At 36.7% G+C, this 24,653-nt stretch overlaps 1 protein-coding gene across 11 annotated transcripts in view, besides 2 other annotated features; it reads right to left on the minus strand.

The window, feature by feature from the left end:
* PIEZO2 (piezo type mechanosensitive ion channel component 2) overlaps positions 1-24,653 on the minus strand; it is a 479,323-nt gene that overhangs the window by 273,414 nt on the left and 181,256 nt on the right. The gene's annotated exons all lie outside the window — the stretch shown is intronic.
* Positions 5,946-6,105: an enhancer, noted in NCBI's record as "active region_13088". NCBI's record gives its function as "activates an Ori minimal core promoter by ATAC-STARR-seq in GM12878 lymphoblastoid cells {active_cell/tissue: GM12878}" and the evidence as "EXISTENCE:reporter gene assay evidence [ECO:0000049][PMID:35858748]".
* Positions 8,338-8,487: an enhancer, noted in NCBI's record as "active region_13089". NCBI's record gives its function as "activates an Ori minimal core promoter by ATAC-STARR-seq in GM12878 lymphoblastoid cells {active_cell/tissue: GM12878}" and the evidence as "EXISTENCE:reporter gene assay evidence [ECO:0000049][PMID:35858748]".

Below are 24,653 nucleotides of genomic sequence, written 5' to 3' on the forward strand. Positions count from 1 at the left end.
GTTAATGATGAAATGAGTTGAGACTTTGGGGGACTGTTGGGAAGGCATGATTGGTTTTGAAATGTGAAGATATGAGATTTGGGAGGGGCCAGGGGCAGAATGACATGGTTTAGTTCTGTGTCTCCATACAGAGATATGTGAGAGTTGCAGAAGGGACCCGGTGGGAGATGACTGAATCATGGGAGCAAGTCTTTCCAGTGCTGTTCTCATGATAGTGAATGGGTCTCACGAGATCTGATGGCTTTAAAAATGGGAGTTTCTCTGAACAAGCTCTCTCTTTGCCTGCTGCCATCCACGTATGATGTGACTTCCTCCTACTTGCCTTCTGCCGTAATTGTGAGGCCTCCCCAGCCATGTGGAACCGTAAATCCAATAAACCTCTTTCTTTTGTAAATTGTCTAGTCTCAGGAATGTATTTATCAGCAGCATGAAGACAGACTAATGCAATGACAAATGAGGATTTTTTAAACAACAAAAAATAAAATAAGAAATGAAAACATAAATATTTAAAACAAATACTCGGTGGATGAGGCAATCATCAGTTTGGGCACAAGTGAATAGGGGATCAGGAAATGAAAGCTCAAAAGAAATTATCCAAAATACAACATGAAGGACAGAGTTCTACCCTAATCAGAGTTTTAAAAACTAAAAAATAAAAAGACCAAGAAAGAAACAATATTCGGTGGGATAACGTGTACCAATTTTTTCAGATTGATGAAATCATCAGTTATTGAATTGTATTATGACAGCCTTTGTAACACAAATGAAAATACAAATGGACACAGATATATATATATCTCAGTGACAGATTATATATATCTTAGTAACATATATATATATATATATCTTAGTAACAGATATATATATATATATATATATATATATCTTAGTAACAGATATATATATATATATCTAAGTGAAAGTAAAGAACACCAAAGACAAAGAAAATTTCTTAAAATCAGCCTGACAGGAAAAGCAGATTGCCTAAAAAGGAGGAAAATTAGTGTGAACACAACATTAGAGGCAAGAGTGAGTAAAATAATATCTTGAAATTGATGAGACAGTGTCCACTTTCAGCCAAGATGGGTTATAAAATTCAGATTTATTCTCCCACCAGAGACAACCAAAAGCAAAACAAATAAAAGCATATCAAAGACAAATTTATGAAACAAGTATTTTCAAGACACTGAATTTCAGGCAACGAAAGACAGTGGTTCCTAAGGGGGGAGAAAAAGAAGCAAAGCTAACTGTTGCTACCAGATTCTTGCCGTGAGATAATGTCCATGTGCAGTGCAGGGAGGGAAGAAGAAGCCAGGCAGAACCCAGGGTACTCCCTCAGTAGAGGAGACAAAGCTAAGAATCCAGGGATGTCAAGAATGCTACAGTTCACAGGAAAGAGTATTAGAGAATAGATTGCAGCACAGAAGAAGGGCCCCGGAGATCTGTGAATTCAGCCAAGTAGTGACCAGTACATGCATGTGAGGAAACTACCTGAATCTGAAGAAGACGCCCTATGATTTTTAGGTGTTATTTTTTAGAGACAAGATGTCTCTCTGTCACTCAGGCTGGAGTGCAGTGGCACAATCATAGCTCACTGCAGCCTCAAACTCCTGTGCTCAGGGGATCCTCCCACCTCAGCTTCCCAAAGTGCTGGGATTACAGATGTGAGCCACTGCACCTGGCTGAAACTCTCTAAAAGACCCTCTCTTCCTTAAGAGAGAACAGTGCCCACCTTTCTCACAGAGGAATACTGTCTACATTGAGTAGAATAATCAAAAGGGTCTTGCCTCAGTAGTGGGGAAAAATGCCCATGGATTGAAATTGGTCTGGTCTTGCCTCACAAATGTTTAAACAAAACACCCCCAAGAGATCAAAACATTTCCAAATAACTTAACTGCATTTCAGAACCAAGCTTAAAAATATGTATAGGAATATAAAAATGTCTAGCACCCAACAAGGTAAAATTCACAAGCTAGGTATCCAATAAAAAATGACCACATATATAAAGAAGCAGAAAATAGGACCCATAATCAGCAGAAAAAATCAATCAAAATCTTCCCAGAACTGCCAAAGGTGTTCAAATTGGAAGGCAAGAAAATAAAAAGTTATTATAATTGCATTCCATATGTTCAAACAGTTAAGTAGATATAGAGAAGACATCAAAAGAAAAAATTGGACTTCTTGAGATAATAACTATAATGCCTGAAATTGAAAACACACTGAATGGGGATTAAAAGCAGATTAGACACTGCAAAAGAAAAGATTAGTGAATGTGAGGATACAGCATCAGAAACTAACCAAAATGAAACACAGGAAAAACAGTCAATAAAAATAAAGAGTATTACTGAGGTACAGGTGACTCCAAGTGGCACAGTATACATGTAATTGGACCCCAAAATCATGGCAGAATATTTCCCAAATTTGATGAAAACCATAAATGTATAGATTCAAGAAGCTCAATGAACCCTAGGAACAAGAAAGATAAAGAAAATCACCCTATGGCATATCATAATTTAAATGCTCAAAATCAATGAAAAATAGAAAATCTTAACAGCAGCCAGAGATAAAAGTCATGTTGCAGGCAGACAAACAAAGATAGGAATGACAGCAGATTTTGTATCAGAACCAATGAAGTGAGAGGACAGTGGAGCAACATTTTAAAAATACTAGGAGAAAAACAAAATATATGTCAATTTGTAATTTTTATACCCTACAAACATATCTTTCAAAAATGAAAGGGATGACCACTGGGAAACTGTGATTCTACCCCCACTCTGCAGCAACAAATCAGTGTGAGTCAGGCCTCCACTTCTCCTCTCCCTGGTGTTAACAGGGTTGAGCAAGGAGCTGAGATTACATCCCCTTTTGAAGGCAATGAGATGGTGAGAGACAGTGCTCAATAGTCACTAAGACAGTGTCATCAGGGTTGAGGAGGAGCTGAACTTCCACCTCACCCATCTGCAATGAGGCAGTGTGAGTGAGCTCCACTCCGCTGGGCTGGTGCTGCCAGGGCTTAGTGGAAAGCTGAACATATATACTCACTTGGCCCTCATACTGAACCTCAATAGGGGAACTACTTGGTTTAAAACAAGATTGAATAGTATCTAGAATCTCATAATACAATATCCAAAACACCTATGATAGATACAATTAAAAATCACTCATCCTAACTAGAACAAGGAAAATTATAACTTGAGTAAGAAAAGGGCACTAACAGACACCAACCCTAAGATAAATCAGATGTTGGAATTATCTGGCAAGAATTTTAAAGCAGAAATTGTAAACATACGTCAACCAGCAATTATGAATTATCTTAAAACAAATAAAAAATGGAAAATTTTAATACAAAATAGAAGTTATTAAAAAAACAACTAAGTGGAATTTATGAAATAAAAAAGTTACAAATCCAAAATCTTTAAACACATTAGAAAGTTATAATAGTAAAACTGAGAGAGATGATAGAGGATAGAATAAATATGATGAACTTGAAGGGAAAAAAATCTGTAGAAAAAAAGCAGAAAATAAACTAAAATAAATAAATGAATCAGATTTCAGAATAAATAATCTTTTGGGAAGAGAAAAAGCACTGAAAGCAGCCCGAGAGAAATGATGCATTACGTCTAAGGGAATGACATTTCAAATTAGAATGGGTATCTCACCTAAAACCACGGAGGCCAGAAAAAAAGTGACACAATATTTTTCAAGTTCAGTACTGAAAGAAAATAACTGTCTGTTGTAAATTTTGTGTCTTATAAAAGTATGTTTCAGGAATGAAGGGGAAATAAAGAGATTGCAAGTAAAAAGATGGGCAAAGATGTGCCATGAAAACATCAAAAAAGGTGAAGGCCAAAAACTACTTTCAATAGAAGAAAACTAAAATGCTTTACCAGCAGAGTCTCTCAGAAGAATTGCTCTCAAAGAAGAGAGTTCTCTCTCAAAAAAGAAAGTCCTTCAGATGGAAGGAAATGATGCCGAATGAAACTGTGGGGGTACAAAAGACAGAAAGGGCACTAGAAATGGTCACTACATAGGTAAGCAGATAGGATAGTTTATACATTAAGTAAATCTCTTTGAAAGATGAATGTTCAAACAAATATGATAACAATATATTATGGGCTTTATAATATATAAGGACAACATATGTCATTAATAGCACAAAGGCTGGGAAGAGAGAAATGCTAGTATACTATTGCAAAGTTCATAATAAATGAAGTGGTTTAGTATTACCTGAAGGCAGATTGTGATAAATTAAAGGTGAATCATATAAATCCAAAGAAACCCACTAAAATAATTAAACAATTAAAATAAAAATGAAATTTAAAAGCACACATTACAAAAGAAGAAAAGAAAAAAGAAAGAAAAGAACAGATAGTGCAAACAGAAAAAACAGTGGATGACAGACCAGTTTAAACATATCAATTATCACATTAAATGGAAATGCTTTCAAGTATATGGAGGAGCACACCAAGATTTCTAAGACATAGGTAATTTTTTAGTTTTATTGCTAATCTGCATGTCTTAAAAATAATTTCAATATATAATAAAAATTTAAATATACATGGATGAGTCAATACAATATTACATTAAAATTATTGTAACTATAATCATGTATGTGATTGAACTATCTTTATATTCTGACCAACAGCTCTTTATTTATCAAAGCTTCTTTACGAGATAAAATTAATTTTGTTGACTTAGAAGACTTACTAAAGGGTATGTGTTACAAAAAAATTCGTGTGATGCATTTTTTTTGGTTTAATGCAATCTTTCACTACCAGCAAATGCCAAATAACCCTAATGAAATTTGACCTTGTGCTTAATTTGTTGCATTGATGATGTTTTAAGATTGATGCATTTTGTTTTCTTGCTTCTTGATTAGAATGGGTGTTGAGAGTCTGTGAGTGTGTTCACTAATGAGGTTAGGACATGATAGAAATCACTTTGGCGATAGAGATACGCGCTCGAGTGCTGTGGGGTACTGTGTGCAAATTTAAGCTTGCAGAGGGGGAAATGTCTGGAAGCAGATACAAAACCACCGTTGATTCTTTTTCCAAACTGCCATATAATTTCATAATATTTTACAAAGATATGATCCTCTCTGTCAACTCACACTTATGATGGAGAATTTGACCTTAGATTGATTTTATAATGTGTGTATGTTACAGAAATACAAATACACAAATACATTAAATGGTGTGTTTTGTATAGATACATACAGATGCATACCTTCACTTTCATAACAATATATGTGAGGGTGTTACGGCCTGTTTATAACAGCCAGCCTTTTGTAAACAGGTTGCTTTTATGAAAGCATGTTTTCTCTGCTCCTGAATAATAGATGAAATGTGTCCATCTCAATGCAAAATTAGAAAGTCCTTAAAAGAAGGCTGAATATTAGAACCCTGAGTATTCATCATACAGAAATGGTCATTTGTTGGTTAGTAGAAATTGTAGTTATATCTATTCTGAGATAAAATTTCCGAGGAAGTAATTGTATACATTTTGAATTTTTTAATTGGCTTATGACTGAGAAGTAGGAAACATTTTTTTCTCATTTCCTGCCAGTTTGTAGCAGTCTAAATCAATACTAATGCAGGATATGAGTGATGAGTCTATGTACATTTGCCCTTCACATAATCAATGCAATACACCCTACAAAAACAAGAACAATCAAACAAATTATATTAAAGCAACCTGAACATGCTCAAATAATGCTTTTAAAAAAGAGGTTGGGCTAAAGATCGCACTTGTTCTCAACATTCTTCGTAGGCATCCTCCAAGGGCTTTGTTCTCTAGCCCAGGGGTGACAGGAGAGCTCCAAGAACCTGGATTCCCACTCTGTCTACAAGCACAAAGTGAGGTCAGGGTAAAAGTCAGCCATTCTGGCTCCCGGGTCCCATGCAGCAGCCCTGCACCACATTTTTCTATTCCATCTGGATAAACAATCTCAGAAGTGCATTGAATTGGTTGTGACACCAGCCACAATTGGTTGGAAAATTATTGCATTCATACAAGGCCAGCTTATGCAGAGTATCTAAGGGAAATGCAGAGAGAAGGTGTTTTCTTTCCAGACCCTCTAAGAAGTCATTATCAGATACTTCAAAACAGGAGGGAAAATCATTCAGGAGACTGACACACAGTTGTGGTCAAAGTGATGCCTCTCCTATTTCTCAACTTACATCCTCCACAATGACTGTCACTGATAACAAGACCGATAAGCAGAAGGCAGCCTCCTCTGGCTCAGAAGGCCTTCTAATAGTGTCCTTGAAAGACAGCAATACATTTCAAATACTTCACCAAAAAACACTGGGTGAATAAGATTGAGGCAGTAATGATGGTTTGTTTTAAATCTTATGAAAACAAAGAAAAACAATATTACTTTTAAAAAATGAATGAACCAGGTGTTGAACTCGATTTACATTTGGTAAGAGTTTCTAAAAATGTTGGCAGTACCCTATATATTTTAATGAGGGTTAATATTGAAAATAAATTATGAATTATAGTTTAACTCCAGCCAAGGGGTTAGCATAGATAAGCCCACTTTTTTCATTTGCAAATTAGTATGCTCTATGTAACGAGACGGGGGAAAGTCAATAGATAATCACCAGTCGTCACATCACTTAAAAACTTGAGTGTCTGCTGTGTGCCAGGCACGAGGCTTAAAGCTGAAGGTAAGAAAGAAATAAGCCTCTCTGAAATAGTTCACAATCTAGTGGAAGAGGGAGACTCAAAAACACAACAAAACACATGCTTGAAGGACAGAATGGAAGACAAGGACTGAACAAAATCTACACTCGCAAAAACTAAGGCATGATACTTTGTCATTTCACTGTGATATCTGATCACCGGGTGAATATTACTTGTGTCTTTGGTTATTTCTTCCAACTAGGGAACGAGAAAAGTAAGTTATTGTATATGTGGCTTTATCTATTTCCAGTATTCTGATAACACCCAACTTTGTGTCTCTAAGATTTCTTTTCTAAACCATAGATCCATTTACACACACATTGATCTCAGGATTTCAAACACAAACCTGTCAAACATTTTCCCTTCCCCTTCCTCCTCTTCCCTCTTCTGTACCAAATCCGAGCTTCCTCGTACCGGCCTTACACTGTTTAAACGGTATCTTCATCCACTGAGTTAGCTTCTGTCTCCCATTCCTCAACATGGAATTAGACAATAAGCCTCGCTGATTTTACTCCCAAAATATTTCTTGAAGCAGTCTCCTTTTCTAAAATCGCTCTGCAATTGCCTTAGTTTGGATTCTCATTGTTTTTCACCCAACAGTCTGTGAAAGTCGATCATACAAATTGGGTCATTCTTGTTATACCCAACTGAAACAGCTGAGAAGCTGGGGGAAAAAAACACTCAGGGCACACAACATTGCTCCAAAAATGTAATTCTCTGCAAGTCCAGGTGCTGAAACTACCTGCTGTAACCCGAAACTGGTTTTATCTAATATTTGCTGCAACCACCTGCTGCAATTCTATGACTAATTTTACCCACTGCTGTCAGTAACCAATCAGAGCTTTCCAGCTTTCCAAAACTTTACTAATACCAAAGAACTTTCTCACAAGACAATACATAACATTTCCCTTCTTTATAAAACCTTCTCTTTGTTTCTCAGACATACCAAAGACCATCTGGTCTGTGACTCTTCCCCGAATTGCAATTCTTGTATCCCAAATGAAATCTGACGATTAAGTTGAGGGATTCATCTCTACATATTTTATTTAACTTTGACAAGTCTCTGACCTGTCTTTCTGCCTCCAATGCCCAAATCCCTTCTCACACACATGCATATCCACACCCCAACACGTATGTGCACAAAAATTCACACCGTTGCCAGATAATGTTTCTAAAACGTCATCTGCTGTGTTGCCACCACTACTTAAAACCCTCAGTGGCTCCCTTCCACCTATAGGTTAAATTCTAAACTCCTATAAATGATATCTAAGACTTTCCAAGTTCTTGGATTACTTTCCAAGGTCCACCCCTGGAGGAGAACTTTAATCATTCTTTTGGGAACCACTTCTTTTTATCTCATATTTATCTCTGTACCAGCTTCATCATATGTTATTACAGGACTTGTTGATAAGTCTACCTGTCACCCTTGATTCTGAATTCCCCAAGGGCAGTGGACTGTAGCTTACTTATCTATCATTCCCTGGAGCTAGAACACTTTGGGGACAAGAGTGTGCCAAAATATTCAAGTAATATTTGCCAAATTAATGAATGATTATGAGATATGAAACAGGAAAATGCTATGAAGAATTTATCACTGCCAAATATTATACATAATTATAACTGTACTTTGTCAAGTATAGGGCTTCTTATATTGTGAAACTGTCTCTGAAACATTATCTGATTTGGCCTCCACAATAGCTCTTGGGGAAAGTCATCATGATCTTGAGAACCTGTGGCTGCTTAGTGGTACAGCAAAACCAGAATCTACTGCTCTGATCTCTCTACTCTTCAGTAGAGCCCCCAAAACAAACAGTGAAACAGTGAGAGGAAAATTCCAATGTGTTACCACTGTGGTCGCTGGCTCTTTTTAAATCATTTTTTTTCTTATTAGATTATAAGTTACACAGAGTAAAATTTTTGCATGTATAATTTCTCAATTTCTTACAAATCCATACAGTCATTTAACTACCACTACTGTCAAAATGTAAAGTTCCATCAGCCCACCAAATTCTCCATGGTCATTGTAGTCAGCCACTCCCCTGATCCTCCACCCCATGGTGAGCAATGATGCACTTTCTACCCTTACAGTTTCACTAATTATTGTAAATATAATCATATAGTATGTAGCATTCTGATACTGTCTGAATTCACTTAACATAATGCTGAATTGAGATGCTCTTGCATGTACCCATAGTTTGTTGCTTTCTATTGTTGACCTGTGTAGTCCATCCAGGGACCAAGTTTGCTGAAAGACATTGAAGTTGCTTCCAGTTGGGGCAATGACGAATAAACCTGCTTTAAACATTTGCTTAAAATTTTAAAGTCAAATTTTCACTTCACCGGAGGAAATATCACCCAGTGGGATTCCTGGACTGAATAGTAAGTATATGGTCAAATTTATAATATGTTGGAAGATTATTTTTCAAAGTGTCTATATAATTGTACATTCCCGCCAGAAATGTATTTGAATTCCAAGTGTTCTACATCTCCATATTTCCTCAGCATTTGGAATGCCTTCCCTTCCTTCCTTCCTTCCTTTCATCCCTCCCTCCATCCCTCCCTCCCTCCTTCCTTCCTTCTTTTTTTCATTCTAAGAAGTATATAGTAGTCATCTCCGGTTTTTAACTTGCACTTACCTAATGACTGTGATGTTAAACATCTTTTAATGTGTTTATTCATCATCTGTATATCTTCTTTGGTAAAGTGTCTATTCAAAAATTTTGCCCATTAAAAAAAATGAGATGTTTCCTTAGTATTGAGTTTTAAGAGTTCTTCATAAATACTGGATACAAGTCCTTAATCAGATATATAGTTTGTAAATACTTTATTCCAATTTGTGGCTTGCCTTTTTATTGTATTAACACTGGATTTTGAAGAGCAGAAGTTCTTCATTTTGATGAAGTGTAATTTATCAGTTTTTTCTCTTATGAGTTGTGATTTTGATGTTGTATTTAAGAAAACTTTGCCCTTCCCTAACCCAAGATTACAAACATTTTCTCCTATATTTTTTGCAAGAGTTTTATGGTTTCAATCTTTGCATTTAGGTTTATGATTTGTTTTGAGTTAATTAATTTTTGTATATGGAGCAAATTAAGAATTTAAGTTCTTTTTTTAATATAAAAAAACACTATTGTTGAAAAGTGTATTCTTTCTTCACAAAATTGAATTTGTATCTCTATGGAAAATCAAGTGGCCGTGCACATACATGTGGGTCTATTTCTGTACTCTTTTTTTCCTTCACCAATAGCAAACTGGCTTGATTACTGTGGTTTTATAGTGCTATGATGACCTCGTATTCACCTCATTAGTGAGGAAGGCATCCACTGCCCTAAACAGAATGAGATGGTTGAACACATCGCAACACTGGGCAGATAGATGGGCAGCATTTTATTACCCACATCTACTCATGGTCCTGCGGGAGGACACTGCACACCACACAGGGCCACACCGGGGTGCACTTGGGAACAGATGAACAAGCAGGGGCAGCAAGAGAGAGGCAGGCTTTGAATATCAACAGCACAGGGTGCCCCTGGTTACTATGTGAGGACGATACTGCCTTGTTTTAATGATTTGCGGCTGGCAGGGAACTGAAGTCTGTCAGATTGAGGACCAGGTGGTGTGCAGCTGGTTCAGCACAGGGTCACATCTGCTGAAAGCAGGGAACTCACAATATGGCCTTTAGGGTCCCTTGAGGCTTAAAAATATAAGACAGCCTGTGAAATTTTAGGCCTTACACTATATAACTCAGTCTTGAAATCAGATAGTGTAAATCTTCAAATTTTTATTTTTCATTTTCAAAATTACTTTGGCTATTGTAGTTTTTTTTCCATATATATTTTAGAGTCAGCTTGTTGATTTCTACAAAAATATCCTGCTGGGATTCTGACTAGAATTGTGTTGAACCTATAGATCAGTTTAGAGAGAAAGGACATTTTAACAACAGTGAGTCTTCCAATCCATGAACACAATGTATCTCTGCATTTATTTAGGGTTTGTTTCATTTATTTCTGCAGCATATGGGTCTTGCATTGTTTTTAGATTTATATCAAAGTATTTTTTGTATTATTGTACATAACATTTTGTTAAAAAAGCTATTTCCAATTGTTGATTGCCAATATGTAGAAATACAATTTATTTTGGTATGTTGATCTTGCATCCTGTGATGTTGACTTTTTGAAATATTCTACATTGATGGTGTCTCTGCATATTTATGTGGGTAAGGGAATCCTTCATAGATGGACAATAATGATGAGAAGAAGAGGGAGGAGGGGAAGGGAGAAGAAAAAGGGCTGAGCTAGAGTGATGGCGGCACTCGAAGTCCACTGCAGTCCACTTTTGGGACTGGTTGCCATGGTGATGGCTGTGGCAGAAGCAAGTGGCCACAGGTCCCAGAGACAGGGGAGACCAGGAGGACCTGAAGCAACGCATGAGAAGCATCTGACGCTAAAGAGAACAGAGAACTCAGAATGCAAGGCCTTCTTCTCTCATTTCTCTCTGATGTTAGTAATGTTTTCCTTGATCTCCCCAGAAAAGTATAAACTTCAGGAGATTGAATATATTTTCTGGGTTCATTAAAATTATTCTTGCACTTTAGATAATACATCAAAAATTGCTGCCAGTCAATACATAGAAGGAAACAAAGGGAATAGGGAAAAGGAGGAGGAAGTAGAAAGAAAGAAGAGATGAGAGTAGGAGAAGAAAGAGGGGCACAAAAGGAAGAAAGAGGAGGCAAAGGAAAGCCGAGAGAGATGTGGGGGTCGCTTTACTTGAACAGCTCCAGGAGAACAAAAGTTTCCTTTAATTGTATTTTGTGCTGGAATTGAAATTGTGGGTTTAAACAGAAAGAGTTTCTAAAACTCAAGCCAAATTACATTCATATCAAGATCAGCCTTAATCTCCATTGACAAAAAGGACTTTAGGAAGAGCAATCGAGGTTGGGCTCAGGTAGGAAAACGAAAACAGAAGAGCAAGAGAGCAAGGAGACAGCTATTGGCATGGCCTGTCTGGGAGGCCTGTAGTCCTTGAATCTGGTCTAGATGTTTTCTTTCTTGGTTACCTGTTATCTGAAGATTCTGAGGTGAGAGGTGTCATCATGCAGCCACTAGAATAAAGTGCTTGTATTTTAGTGTTTTGCTTCAATCTGCTTATTATAACATTTCAGTTCTGTGTAAACAACTTTAGAGAGTGCACGCTTTGGAAGTAAACTGACCCCAAAACAAAAGCTCCATGTTATGAGGAAGATATCTGCTGAAACAGGAGCCCTGTGTATGAGAAGAACATCTGCTAACACAGGGGTACCATGTAAGAAGATCTCTACTATATTTTTCACATTTCCACTTCCATTTTATCATAACTTATATAAAATTTTAAGTACAGAGAACTCCAATATTTCATTTTTATATTTTGGATTGATGTTTTCTTAGTAAGTAAGTATTACCATTAGAATATTATCATGCTTGTTTTTATATGTTTTCCACATTATAGAACACTCCTTGAGAGCAAGGATTTAAATTTTTTGTTTGTTTGTTTTTAAGCTACCATATCCCCAGCATTAGAACAGTAGCTATAACCATAGTGGGTGATCAATAAATATTTGTTAGATGATGAATGAATAAACCTGAGCTGTGCTTTTCCTAAATCTTTGACATCCTTTCTTTGGGGAGGGAGCAGTCCTCTCTCTGCTTAAGTCCAATTTCCATTATTATTAGTATTTTATGGAATTCATATATAAGGCTTTGACTGATGTGGCTATCTGGAAATGAGTTTTCACCTGATTAGCCTTGTCTTGATCCAGTTTAATCCATGATTTTCAAAAAATGTCAATAGCCTAATAATAATACCCTTCAGTTGCTGATTACAAAATCAACATACAAAAATAAGTAGTTTCTATGTATTAACAAAAAACTGTCCAAAAATAAATTAACAAAACAATTCTATTTATAATAGTATCAAAAAATACTTAGGAATAAATTTAACCAGGAGAGGAAAGAGCTGTACACTGAAAACTATAAAACATCAATTAAAGAAATTGAAGACACAAATAAATGGAAAAATATCCAATGTTCATGGATTGGCAAAACTAATATTGTTAAAATCTCCCTACTACTCAAAGCCATCCACAGATTCAATGCAATCCCTCTCAAAATTCCAATGTCATTCTTCATAGAAATTGAAAAAAAATTATCTTAAAATTTGTATGGAGCAACAAAAGACCCCAAACAGCTAAAACAATCTTGGACAAGGCAAAACAAGCCTGGAGGCATCACATTCCTTGATTTCAAAATATATTATAAAGTGATTGTAATCAAAACAGTATCGTATTGGCATAAAAACAACATCCAGGCCAGGCGCAGTGGCTCACGCCTATAATCCCAGCACTCTGGGAGGCCGAGGCGAGTGGATCACCTGAGGTCAGAAGTTCAAGACCAGCCTGGCCATGGTGAAACCCTGTCTCTACTAAAAATACAAAAAATTAGCCAGGCGTGGTGGTGCGTGCCTGTAATCCCAGCTACTCGGGAGGCTTAGGCAGGAGAATCACTTGAACCCAGGAGGCGGAGGCTGCAGTGAGCCGAGATCACACCTTTGTGCCCCAGCCTAGGCAACAAGAGCAAAACTCCATCTCAAAAAAAAAAAAAAAAAGAAATCATCCAGTGGAACAGGATATACAGTCCAGAAATAAACCTAAGTATATGTGGTCAATTGATTTTCAACAAAGGTGTCAAGAACACAAATGGGGAAAGGACAGTCTCCTCAATAAAAGATTTTGGGAGGCCAGGTGCAGTGGCTCACGCCTGTAATCCCAACACTTTGGGAGGCTGAGGTGGGTGGATCATGAGGTCAGGAGTTCAAGACCAGCCTGGCGAGCATGGTAAAACTCCATCTCTACTAAAAATACAAAAATTAGCCAGGCATGGTGGCGTGAGCCTGTAATCCCAGCTACTTGGGGGGCTGAGGTAAGAGAGTCGCTTGACCCTGGGAGACAGAGGTTTCAGTGAGCCAAGATTGTGCCACTGCACTCCAGCCTGGGTGACAGAGACTCTTGTCTCAAAACAAACCAACAAAAAAAAAACAAAGCAACAACAACAACAAAAAAACATGATGGGAAAGCTGGATTTCCACTTGCAGAAGAATGAAATTATACCCTCTTCTTATACTATATACAAAAATCGCTGAAATGAGCACAAGACATAAATGTAAAATCTGAAATTGTAAAGCTACTAGAAGAAAAAATAAGGAAAAAGCTCCACATTAGTCTGTGTAGTGATTTCTTGGATACAACTCCAAAAGCACAGGCAACAAAAGCAAAAAATAGACAAATGAGATTGCATCAAACCAAAAAGCTTCTGCACAGCAAAGGAAACAACTAACAGAGAGAAAAGACAACCCATGCATTGAAAGAAAATATTTGCAAATCATACATCTGAAAAGGAGCTAATATCCAAAATACATACGGAATTCAAGCAACTCAGTAGCAATATACAAATAACCTGATTAAAAACGGGCGAAGAATCTGAACAAACATTTCTCAGAAGAGATGTGAATGGCCAACAGATACATGAAAAACTGCCCTACATCTTCAGTCATCAGGGAAATGCAAATTAAAACCACAGTGAGACACCACTTCATGCCTGTTAGAATGACTGTTATCAAAAAGATAAAAGATAACAAATGTTGGAAAGAATGTGGAGGAAAGGGAACACTTACACTCTGTGTGTGGGAATGTAAATTAGTACAGCCATTATGCAAAGCAGTGTAGTGGCTCCTCAAAACCTGAAAAGTGTTCATCAACAGATGAATAAATAAATAAAATGTGTTATAAAAGTATATACACAATGGAATACTATACAGTCTTTAAAAAGAGAATAATTTTGCCATTTGAGACTAGGTAAAATAAGCCAGGCACAGAAAGACAACTACTGAATAAGCTCGCTTTATGTGGCATCTAAAAAAGTCCATCTCATAGAAACAGAAACTAGAAAGGTTGCCATCAGGGGCTGGGGTAAAGGGGGAAGTTGAGGAGAGGGTAAAGGGAGGGGAAGTTGAGGAGAGGGACTTCAAAACATGCTGTTCAAAGGGTAGAAAGTTTCAGTTAGACTGAAGACTAAGTGTTTGCAATCTATTGCACTGCATGGTGACCATAAGTAATAATAATGTATTATATATTTCAGATTGGTTAAAAGAATAGATTATTAACATTTTTACCACAAAAATAAGTTCACAAAGTAATGGATATATTAATTAGCTTGATTAAGTCTTTCTACAAGGTATACATAGATCAAAACATCGCCTCATACCCCATAAATATACACAATACTTATTTCTCAATTAAAAATAAATTTAAACAACAATAATGCCTGTCAGTTTTGCCTTAATAGAAACAAAAAGCTACTTTTCCCAGAAATGCATTCATGTACTTCGGGCAACCCATCATTTAAAGTAACTGTTAAAACTATAAAAATACAGACACAGTCTAAGGTATAAATTTGGCCACTTTGATATAAATTGAAATACCAAGTCTATGAGAATTGTATATTATTGAGTATAAAGTTTACTGGCACAGTTATAAAAGCATAATAAATTTAAAAATTACATCATTATTGAGAATGTTTACTACCATGACTCAAAGCTAATAATAAATAATTCCAAGAGTAAAATAAATGCCTGTGACTGTTACAATGTCTACCTATAACTGTAGTGTAGAGGGAAGACATTAAATATATGTCATCAGCAAAAATATGTATTAATGATTCAGTCTTACAACTGAAATGTATGCTTATTAGTAAAATGCATGCCACTAGCATATTGATTCAAATTTTTACACTAGTAACTAAAAGAGCTGTTTTAAATGGTTTTCCATTTGTCTTTGTATTTGTCTTGTTTTGTTCTCAAAGTCTTCACAGTAAAAGGTATACTTCCCTGCAGCTGAGTTCATGGAAAAGGGCAAGTGATTTTATAGAGATTTCATCAAAAACTTCACATTCTTTCTTTATTTTACACTTAACAATTATCTAAAGGCAGGCTGTTAAATAATAATTTAAGTTTGGATTATTTAATTATTTGAATGGAGAGAAATGTCACATATCCAAGTTCATTAATAATACATCAAAAAATCACATGTAGACAATCCACTGTAAAGGTTGACATGAGATGTCTTATAACACATTCAGCAAGACATAAAGAATCAATTTTTAAAATTGATTGTGTAGACTCTGCATCTCACTTTGTCAGTTTCTCAGTATTGCGTATGTATGCCAACACCTGGTATGAAACATCCATCTGATTCATATGCTCCATTACCTACCCTTTATTTCATGAAATTACAAAGTCCCATTGAGGAACAGTGAGTTGTCCAAGGGTAAAGAGAAGATTTTCAGACCTAGACAAAATTTATGGCTCTAATATAACAAACATCTACATTTCTTTTAAGTAAAACATTTATTTAACACGCCTATAATAAAGTTAAATAAATTACGTAAACTTCAATCTCATCACGAAGCATTTTTATGTTAGTAAATCTTTATTGCACCCTAGAAACTTAGAATATCTGTAAGAAAGAAATAGAGACAGCTCTTATTTCCTAAACACTGACTCTTTTTTGAGTAACTGTTAAAACAGCTATATTCCTACTGTCAGGGAACCTTAAATTTATTTTATATATAGACGTTCATCTTTTTATATTTGTACAAGTCCACAAATTATCAAATTGAAGTAAATCGTGCTTTTATCAGCTTTGGGATATTGACATCATAAGGCTGTGAGCTTGATCTGACAGAAATGGGAATGCTTTATATCTTTTTATTGAAGTTATAAAATCCTAAAAATGCCAAACCAACATAGTATGTACTATAATTATTAATATTGGTTTTATTCAACCAAATATTCTAGAACTAGTTTTAAATATTTTAAATGTAGCTTAAAGGGGCTAGCTTTAGTATAGCAGGAAGCAAAAATTCTTATACATTCAATGTTTATCTTTTTCAAGAAGCACTTACAGCCAAACTCTACCACAGAAGTAGAAATTCTCTAGTCTAAAAGATATTGTTTTAATACTCAATTATTTTCATTTAAACCCTAAAAGTATTAAAAACATGAAGAGTGAGATACCCAATCCCCTCAAAAGTCATTTATAGACACAGGGTATCATAACACCTTAGGCAACATTAAGAACAAATAGAGTTGCAGCAACTACACTACTGTAGCCACAAAGACTTTTTTTTTTTTTTCCTGAATGGGTGGGCACCTATTTTTACTTGATTGGTTTGTATAAATTAACTGTGTGTTTGAGGTTTTTTCCTGAGCTGATTACTCAGACTAAAAAAAGTCCCCCAACCTTAATTTAAAAGTTACATTCTAGATTTTCTCAAAAATCTTTTAAAACGAGCGTTGGCTAAACCTCCTGCTGCAATCTTTGTAATCACCTCTCTTAGGGACCTTGGGAAAAATCACATAACTACTGTGTCTCTGTTTCCTTATTTCTAAATGAAGAGACTGGACTGTGTCATCTGAAATGTTCCATTTGGTAGAAGAGTTCATTAAGAAACTGTGGTATGGCCCGGGGTGGTGGCTCATGCCTGTAATCCCAGCACTTTGGGAGGCTGAGGCGGGCGGATCATGAGGTCAGGAGATCGAGACCATCCTGGCTAACATGGTGAAGCCTCGTCTCTACCAAAAATACAAGAAAAAATTAGCTGGGTGTGGTGGCGGGCACCCGTAGTCCCAGCTACTCGGGAGGCTGAGGCAGGAGAATGGTGTGAACCCGGGAGGCAGAGCTTGCAGTGAGCCAAGATCGTGCCATTGCACTCCAGCCTGGGCAACAGAGCAAGACTCCATCTCAAAAAAAAAAAAAGAAACTGTGGTATATACATACAATGGAATACTACTCAGCCATAAAAAGTAATGAATTAACAGCAATTGCAGTGACCTGCATGAATGAGATTGGAGACTTATTCTAAGTGAAGTAAAGAATGGAAAACCAAACATCGTATGTTCTTACTGATATGTGGGAGTTAAGCTGTGAGGACGCAAAGGCATAAGAATGATACAATGGACTTTGGGACTTGTGGGGAAGTGTGGGAGGAGGCAAGGGACAAAAGACTACAAATATGGTGCAGTGTATACTGCTTGGGTGATGGGTGAACCAAAATCTCACAAATCACCACTAAATAACTTACTCATGTAGCCAAATACCACATGTACCCCAGTAACTTATGGAAAAATAAAATTAAAAACATAAAAATTTTAAAAAAAGAAAAAAATTTCAAAAAGAGTCAGCTTGTATAGAATATAGTGCTCAGGAGATTCTCATTTGTAATGCCACAGCCAGGTATGCTTTTAAGTCAGCAGTAAATAAAGGCAGTTTTGCACTCTATTTACAGTGCTGGAAATCCAACTCCACAAAGAGAATTTGAGTTGAGTAAAAAAGGATTTTTTTTTTCAAAAGTGATACAAGTCCACACTTATCCAACCTTAAGTGTTAAAGTCATTATAGCTAGATAGCTCTTATATCTAAGAGGAAACAAATTTAAACAAATAACAAAGAAATAGACACAAGGACTTTCCCTAGAGATCCATTAATGAAAACATCTCACAAGCATACGCATCAGCATGGAAGAGTGTTGGCTTTCCCTGGAGGGTGTGTATAAATTCAGGTGAACTGCTGCACTCTGTGGGCTCTGTGTAAAGCCATCCAGAAATGCACCACTGATTCTCGCAACGTTCAGTTTTTTTTTCCAAGCAGACTGTAATCAACTATATTAGCATGACAACAAATTCTTTATGTTGTGAGATTCTACTGATCCTCAAAACTGCCACTGAATTAGAATTATTTCCAGATGCTCTGTTCAATGAAAGAGTCTTAAAAATAATGCAAAACGATGGTGATCCCAGGCTACACTGGCAACAGGTTAAATACGCAATCGTAGCCCTTCTCCCATCCATTCTGCATCTCCCCTCCGCTTGCCTGCAGCTTTTCCTGGTCACTCACGGCCCTCCCTCGGCTCCCCACAGCCTCATACTCACAACTGGCATTTTCCTTCCACACTTTCTCAATTGTCCCTTAACACTCCTGTGAGGGGACAACCCTAAAGCCTGGGATCCCAGGAGCTGCACGCAGGGCTCGCTCCTTGCTCCTTGGTGTAGAGTTCATGGCCAAGCTTCCTCCAGTCTCTGTAGGTGTGATGTTTCCCCATCAACAGTCCCATCACTTCAGGTGACTTTATTTCATGTTGCTCTAGACCAGGCATTTTTGCCTCATTCAGCTGTGCTACATTGCCCCTCTTTCTTTGACTTTTCCTCTTACCAAGTACAAATTACTTTCTCCATAAGCAAACTTTCAGTAGGCATCCTGAGACGTAGTATCATCTCAGTTTTTTAATTTGTAATTTCATCCCCAAGATAAATCCATCATTTAGCCTCTTTAAATGGAAGGGTCATGGCTGCTAAGGCCCTTTCCAGTGATCACATACTATGAGCCCATGCTAGCAATGTGAGGGATGACTTTTCCCACTGAGCTATTAGTTCTAACAGCCCTGAAAGCTATATTCTGTCGTGAAATGCATACACCTCTATCATCTCATAAACTTTAAAAGACTAAAATTGGTCTGGGGCTATACATATACCCAGAATCATTCCTCCTGTCAAAATTAAATAGAAATATCTGGCCTGGTATGGTGGTTCATGCCTGTAATCCCAGCACTTTGGGAGCCTGAGGTGGGTGGATCACGAGGTCAGGAGTTCAAGACCAGCCTAGCCAGCATGATGAAACCTTGTCTCTACTAAAAATACAAAAATTAGCTGGGCACGGTGGCATGCTTCTGTAGTTCCAGCTACTTGGGAGGCTGAGGCAGGAGAATCTCTTGGACCTGGGAGGTGGAGGTTGCAGTGAGCTGAGACTGCGCCACTGCACTCCAGCCAGAGGACATGGTGAGATGTTGTCTCAAAAAAAAAAAAGAAAGAAATATTCTTAGAAAGAATCAGTTTGCTGTGAGATATTAGATAGCTATTAAGACAGTGGCATTTACTCTCTGGACTAAAAGCAATGTTTCTGTATCTCTGCCTAGGTACAATAGAAAGGTCTCACCAAATACATATCACATTTAAGGTCAAGACATTGAATAGATGCATAACATCCGGAAAAAGTTTAAAAAATGGTTTTCCACATTAACCGGTTACATTAGATTACAATAAGAAAAAAACTTAATTCACTTTCTGCATTTATCTTCTGTTTCTCCCAAATAGATGGCAGTACTTTTCCTACTGACTTAATTCATGGTAGAGTGAGAGACAAAGAGCACCTATAAATTAAGGTTAAACTGAGTCTTAAAACACATGGAATAATACTACCGTAACAAAAGCTATTTGTCAGTGTTATGGTTTGGTATTAAGACATACACATAGTTTATGCCTTACTCTGAAATGAAGACGACTGAGTATTTCCGTAGATGCTAATTTAGGCTGTTATCTGCATTTTGAAGTCCTCCAAGACCTGTATTTTCCACTTGAATTTTGTCTTTTCAGACTTATTCAGAATCTTTTCCAAATAGAACCTCAAGTTTCACAATAAAAAGGAATGTGGGAGGGGGGAGTAGAAAGTGGAGAAAGAGAAGGAGAAGAAAAAGATGTATTAGAGAGACAGGCTCTACAAGGTTCCCAAGAAACCACCTTCCTGCCAGACCTCAAAGAAGGCTGCCTTGTGAATGAGTGAAGCTCATCTATGGGTATCAAAGGAAGAATTATTCAATCAATGATGATGGAAAAACAGCCATTTGGGGAAAAAAATCCACTTTTCAAAGTCTCTATACCAAATAATTTCCACATTAATTAAAGTGATTAATTAATTAAAGTGATTAATTAACCTCCACATTAATTAAAGTGATTAAACATTTTAAATTATAAACATGAGCAAAAAATAGAGTACAATACATATCAATTCTGAGTGTATAGCACTGAAGCAATAAGAAAAAATAGGGACAATGGATTATAATATTTTTAAAAACTCAATGTAGTAACAATTAACAAAAATCTGTTCTTAAAAATCAACCTTGTAAAATATATTTGCAGAGAATAATAGCAAATATTCTACAGAAATAAACACAAATAGTAAACACATTGAAAAATATTTATCTTCACTATTTTTAAAAAAGCATTCGGTTATTTAAAATCTACTAAATTAGCAAAAGCTTTACTGAAATGCTAATGAGACTTTAGTGAATACGGTATACTTTTTTTCTCCTTTGTTAAGGTGAAATTCACATATCAAACAATTAACCATTTGAAAGTAAGCAATTCAGGGCTATTACTCAAACTGATGGCAGTACTTGTTCACCAGGCCATGCAACTACCACCCTACTAGTTCCAGAACACCATCATCAATCCAGAGAAACACTCCTACCCATTAAGTAATCATGCCCCATTCTACCCTACCCAGAGCCCTTGGCAACACCAATCTGCTTTCTGTCCTTATGGACTTGCCTATTCTGGATACTTCATCTAAATGGAGTCATACAGTATGTGAACTTGGTGTCTGGCTCCTTCACTTAGCATAATGTTTTCAAGGTTCCTCTATGTTATAGCATTTGCCAATACTTTAGTTTTATGGCTGAATAATATTCATATATTTTTTATGTATACATATATAACTTCATTCATCCTTTAATGGATATTTAGATTATTTCTAATCTATTTTTTCTATTTATCTACTTATTCATGGATAACATGAATAGTGCTGCTCTGAACATTTGTGAACAGGTATCTGTGTGAATACCTGTTTCCAATTCTTTTGTGTGTGTTTTCAATTCTTTTATGGCTGAGTGAAATTGTTAGATCATGTGGCAGTTCTATGTTTAATTTTTTGAAGAACCACCAAACTGCTTTCCACACTGGGTGTATGATTTTCATTCCCACCAGCAGAGAGCTCCAGTTTCTCCACATTCTTGTCAACACATGTTATTGCCACGCTTTATTTTTTTGTCATTTGTTTCTTATTATAGCCATCTTATTGAGTGTAACACTTTATCTCATTGCAGTTTGGATTTGTACATCCATAATGACTAATGATGTAGGGCATTTTTAATGTGTTTCTTGCTCATTTGTACACTGGAGTGAGGCTGTCAGTAAGGATTTCTCAGGCTCAAAGCGTTCAGAGGCTTGAAATATTATGGTGCTCTTTTAAAAAACATCTGTCTATCTATCTATCTTGGCTAGTGGTATTCTGAGAAGTACAAGCATGTTGATGAACAATATGGTACAGTCTAGAAAGTGTGAAAATAACGTCCAAATTCTTTGACCTTATAAATCCACTGTTATAAATTTATCCTAAGGAAATAAACAACAGATTTATATGTGAAAATGCTCATAATATTGAATGACAAAAATCAAAACCACCCAGGGAAAGATTTGAAACATTTTTATCTATCAACATGAGGAAAGACTATGGCAGAAATGAAGTATTTATAAAGACTATGTAGAAATGTAGAAACATGACATGGAGCAGTTAAGTGTTCTACTTTTCACCCAGGTTTGATGACAATCATAGGAACACAGATGTAGGGAAATATAAGGTCCATGAGGGGAAGGATACTTGACTTTTTTTACCAAAGAATTTTAAAGCTAAAATAATGTCTGGTACAGATTCCCGTAAATGTTTGCTCTGAACGGATAAAGAAATGGATGCAATAACAAATACAGAATGCCAATCATAATGTACATAAAATGTGAAAATATATATGCAAAAATGAAAGTGTCCAACCAGGTCCCTCATTGACACCTGGAGTTCAATCCAAACCCTCCTCCATCACGCTGGAATTCATCAGCTCCTGTTTCAGGAAGGTATAGTCCTTCACCAGCTCCTCAAGCCAGAAATCTGGGCATCATCTTAGGTCTTTCCTTCTTCCCAGTAGCCCACTCCTAAGCCATTCATTCTCCAAACTCTTGACTCTTCCTTAATATCTCCCCACCATCTTCAGTTCTCTGCTACATCATCGCCACCCTAGCTAAAGCTGTCATTCCTTCTGGATGGATTAGTGCCACAGCCTGCACAACAGTTTCCTGCTGCCAGTCTTCTCCACTGTCAATCCCTCTTCCACACAGATGGCCAGAGTGCATTGTTTCATAACACAAATCTTTACATTTATCTCTCCTTTATAAAAGTTGTTAAATTATTTCTATTGCCCATAAGAGAAATCCACATTTCTTGTTATAGTTTCCATTAGGAGCCCTCAATATTGAGTGCAGATTGAATCACTGGAGTAGCTGTTATTTTTTTAATTTAATTTTAATTATTTTTTATTTTTATAGGTTTTTGGGAAACAGATGTTGTTTGGTTACATGAATAAGTTCTTTAGTGGTGACTTTTGAGACTTTGGTTCACCCATCACCTGAGCAGTGTACACTGTACCCAATGTGTTGTCTTTTATCCCTCACCCACCTCCTGCCCTTTCCCCCGAGTCCCCAAAGTCCATTGTATCATTCTTATACCTTTGTTTTCTCATAGCTTAGCTCCCACTTATGAGTGAGAACATACAATGTTTGGTTTCCCATTCCTGAGATACTTCATTTAGAAGAATGATCTCCAATTCTATCTAGGTTGATGCAAATGCCATTATTTTGTTCTTTTTTATGGCTGAGTAGTATTCCATGATATGTGTATATATACCACATTTTCTCTGTTTTTTGTTTTTTTTTTTTTTTTTGAGATGGAGTTTCACTGTGTCACCCAGGCTCAAGTGCAGTGGTGAGATCTCGGCTCACTGCAACTTCTGCCTCCCAGGTTCAAACAATTCACCTGCCTCAGCCTCCTGAGTAGCTGGGATTACAGGCGCATGCCAGGATGCCCAGCTAATTTTTTGTATTTTCAGTAGAGACAAGATTTCACCGTGTTAGCCAGGTTGGTCTCAATCTCCTGACCTCATGATCCACCTGCCTCGGCCTCCCAAAGTGCTGGGATTACAGGTGTGAGCCACCATGCCCGGCCTATATATCACATTTTCTTTATCCACTCATTGACTGATGGGCATTTGGGCTGGTTCCATATTTTTTGCAGTTACAAATTGTGCTCCTATAAACATGTGTGTGCAAGCATTTTTTTCATATAATGACTTCTTTTCCTCTAGGTAGGCACCAAGGGGTGGGATTGCTGGATCCAATGGTAGTCCTACTTTTAGCTCTTTAAGGAATCTCCACATTGTTTTCCACAGTGGTTGTACTAGTCTACATTCCCATCAACAGTGTAAAATTGTTTCCTTTTTAGCACATCCATGCCAACATCTATTTTTTTTTATTATGGCCATTGTTGTAGGACTGAAGTGGTATCACACTGTGGTTTTGATTTGCATTTCACTGATAATTAGCCATGTTGAGCGTTTTTTCATATGTTTGTTGGCCATTTGTATATCTTCTTTTGAGAATTGTCTATTCATGTCCTTAGCCCACTTTTTAAATGAGATTCTTTGCTTCCTTACTGATTTGTCTGAGTTCCTTATAGATTCTGGTTATTAGTCTTTTGTCAGATGTGTAGATTGTGGAGATTTTCTCCCACTCTGTGGGTTGTCTGTTTACTCTGCTGATTATTATTATTATTATTATTACTTTGCTGTACAGAAGCTTTTTAGTTTAATTAAGTCCCATCTATTTATCTTCGTTTTTGTTGCATTTGCTTTTGGGTTCTTGGTCATGAAGTCTTTGCCAATGGCTAGAAGGGTTTTTCCAATGTTGTCTTCTAGAATTTTTATGGCTTCAGGTCTTAGATTTAAGTCTTTGATCCATTTTGAGTTGATTTTTGTATAAGGTAAGAGATGAGAATCCAGTTTCATTCTTCTACCTGTGGTTTGCCAATTATCCCAGCACCATTTGTCAAACAGGGTGTCCTTTCCTCACTTTATGTTCTTGTTTGCTTTATCAAAGATCAGTTAGCTGTTAAGCGTTTGGCTTTATTTCTGGGTTCTCTAGTCTATTCCATTAGTCTATGTGCC

This window comes from Homo sapiens, chromosome 18, assembly GCF_000001405.40.
Source record: "Homo sapiens chromosome 18, GRCh38.p14 Primary Assembly".
NCBI classification, from domain to species: domain Eukaryota; kingdom Metazoa; phylum Chordata; class Mammalia; order Primates; family Hominidae; genus Homo; species Homo sapiens.